At 39.9% G+C, this 2,188-nt stretch overlaps 1 annotated feature.

Moving 5' to 3' along the window:
* Positions 1,146 to 1,357: a silencer, noted in NCBI's record as "fragment chr3:42040771-42040982 (GRCh37/hg19 assembly coordinates)". NCBI's record gives its function as "represses an EF-1alpha promoter that drives an FKBP-Casp9 reporter gene in an ReSE screen in HepG2 liver carcinoma cells {active_cell/tissue: HepG2}" and the evidence as "EXISTENCE:reporter gene assay evidence [ECO:0000049][PMID:32094911]".

Raw genomic sequence — 2,188 nt, 5'->3', positions numbered from 1 at the left:
TCACCAATGAGGCCTCCTTGAACCATCTCATTAATACTGCCACTTATTTTCCCCCGGCACTCTCAATGCCCCTTACCCTGCTCTGTCTTTTTTAAAATTTAGCACATTTTAATATATTATATTATTTATTTTCTTAAACCCTCTTAATTCACAAGGTAGTCTTATTCTCAGATGTATTCTCAGCACAACGTCTAGAACATAGTAGTTGCTCAATAAATATTTGTTGATTGGATCAAACCTTCAGGATCTAACCAAAGATCCATATGACTTGGAATACCTTCATTGATTAACATTTTACTGTTTTGTTGGATGTGGAGAGTGTAGTAATTCTCATTTCTCATATCAAAGTTAAAAGATCTTGAGAATATTTCCTGAACCTCCTTAACTTCCCTTTCACAACCCATTATAAAGTGACCACCTATCAAAACCTTGCTAGATCCTATTTGTATTCAAGTTATACAATAATATTCTTGGGGTAATGGGTGTCCCATACTACTTTCCGTTTATGGTATGTTGACACCAGCTAAATCTCAGCTTTTATGGACTTTGAGCTCATCTAATCCTCTTCCTAAGCTACTAAAGAGTATTTTTTTTTCTTTTTTCTTTTTTTTTTTGTTTGAGACTGGGTCTTGCCCTGTCACCCAAGTTGGTGTGCAGAAGAAGCACAATTGTAGTCTACTGTAACCTAGAACACCTGGACTCAAGCAATCCTCCCACTTCAGCCTCCTGAGTAGCTGGGACTACAGGCGTGTGCCACCACATCTGGCTAATTAAAAGAAATTTTTGTAGAGACGGGGGTCTCACTGTGTTGTCCAAGCTGCTCTTGAACTCTAGAACCCAAGGGATCCTCCCACCTTGGCCTCCCAAAGTGTTGGGATTACAGGCATGAGCCACCATGCTCAGCCCCAAGCTAAAGAGAATTAGTCACAGTTTATCCTCATGGAAAAATACCTCTGCTATTTTAATTCTTTAGTTGCTCTTATTTAAATCTTTCCAAATTTGTATGCCTTTCTGAGTTTCTGGTAACTGATATTTTAAGTGTAGCAACATGCTTCTAGCTCTCTCTTTCTATGTTTTGTTTTGTTTTCCCCTGAGCAATCTTGACCCAAGCCCAGAGTCCATGGAAGTTCAAGGGTGGGCATCAGGGAGTATATTTGTTAGGGTGGACAAAACTGAAATAAAAAATAAGTAAACCTGCTGGCGCGGTGGCTCATGCCTATAATCCCAGCTGTTTGGGAGGCCAAGGTGGGTGGATCACTTGAGGCCAGGAGTTCAAGACCAGCCTGGGCAACATGGTGAAACCCCGTCTCTACTAAAAATACAAAAATTAGCCAGGTGCAGCGGTGAGCCCCTGTAATCCCAGTTATTCAAGAGACTGAAGCATAAGATTTGCTTGAACCTGGGAGGCAGAGGTTGCAGTGAGCCAAAATGTGACACTGCACTCCAGCTTGGGTGACAGAGAAAGACTCTGTCTTAAAAAAATAAATAAAACCTAAAATGTCATGCCACAACACAGCAGTTTGTTTGTTTTTTGAGACAGAGTATTTTTTTATATTTTATATATTTTATATATATATATATATATATATATATATATATATATATATATATATATATATATATTTTGAGATGGAGTTTCACTCTGTCGCCCAGGCTGGAGTGCAGTGGTGCAATTTCGGCTCACTGCAACTTCTGCCTCTGGGTTCAAGCAATTCTCGTGCCTCAGCTTCCTGAGTAGCTGGGATTACAGGCACCTGCCACCACACCCAGCTAATTTTTTGTATTTTTAGTAGAGATGGGGTTTCACCCTGTTGGTTAGTCTGGCTCGAACTCCTGACCTCAGGTGATCCACCTGCCTCGGCCTCCCAAAGTGCTGGGATTACAGGTGTGAGCCACCACGCCTGGCCAAAATATCTACTTTTATTCAATTTATTTTATGTTATTCTGAAAATGTTTTGTAAAGAAAAAGCTTTATCAGTTCAAATTACAAGATTATGGTTTTAGCTCACTTTATGTTTCACTTGGAAGCATGAGATTTTATGATTGGCCCAGCTGGGTCATGGCTGTTGGGACTAAAGTTTAGGGCCTGTTACCAAAAGAAGATGCCACTACATATGGTCAGGCAAGGTACAAGAATTATCACACCATGTTATGACATCTGAAAGAATTATTTGATAAGAACTGGGAA

Source organism: Homo sapiens, chromosome 3 (genome assembly GCF_000001405.40).
Source record: "Homo sapiens chromosome 3, GRCh38.p14 Primary Assembly".
Classification (NCBI taxonomy): Eukaryota; Metazoa; Chordata; class Mammalia; order Primates; family Hominidae; genus Homo; species Homo sapiens.
Note: the sequence above shows the minus strand (reverse complement) of the source record. Positions and strands in the feature narration are given on the sequence as shown.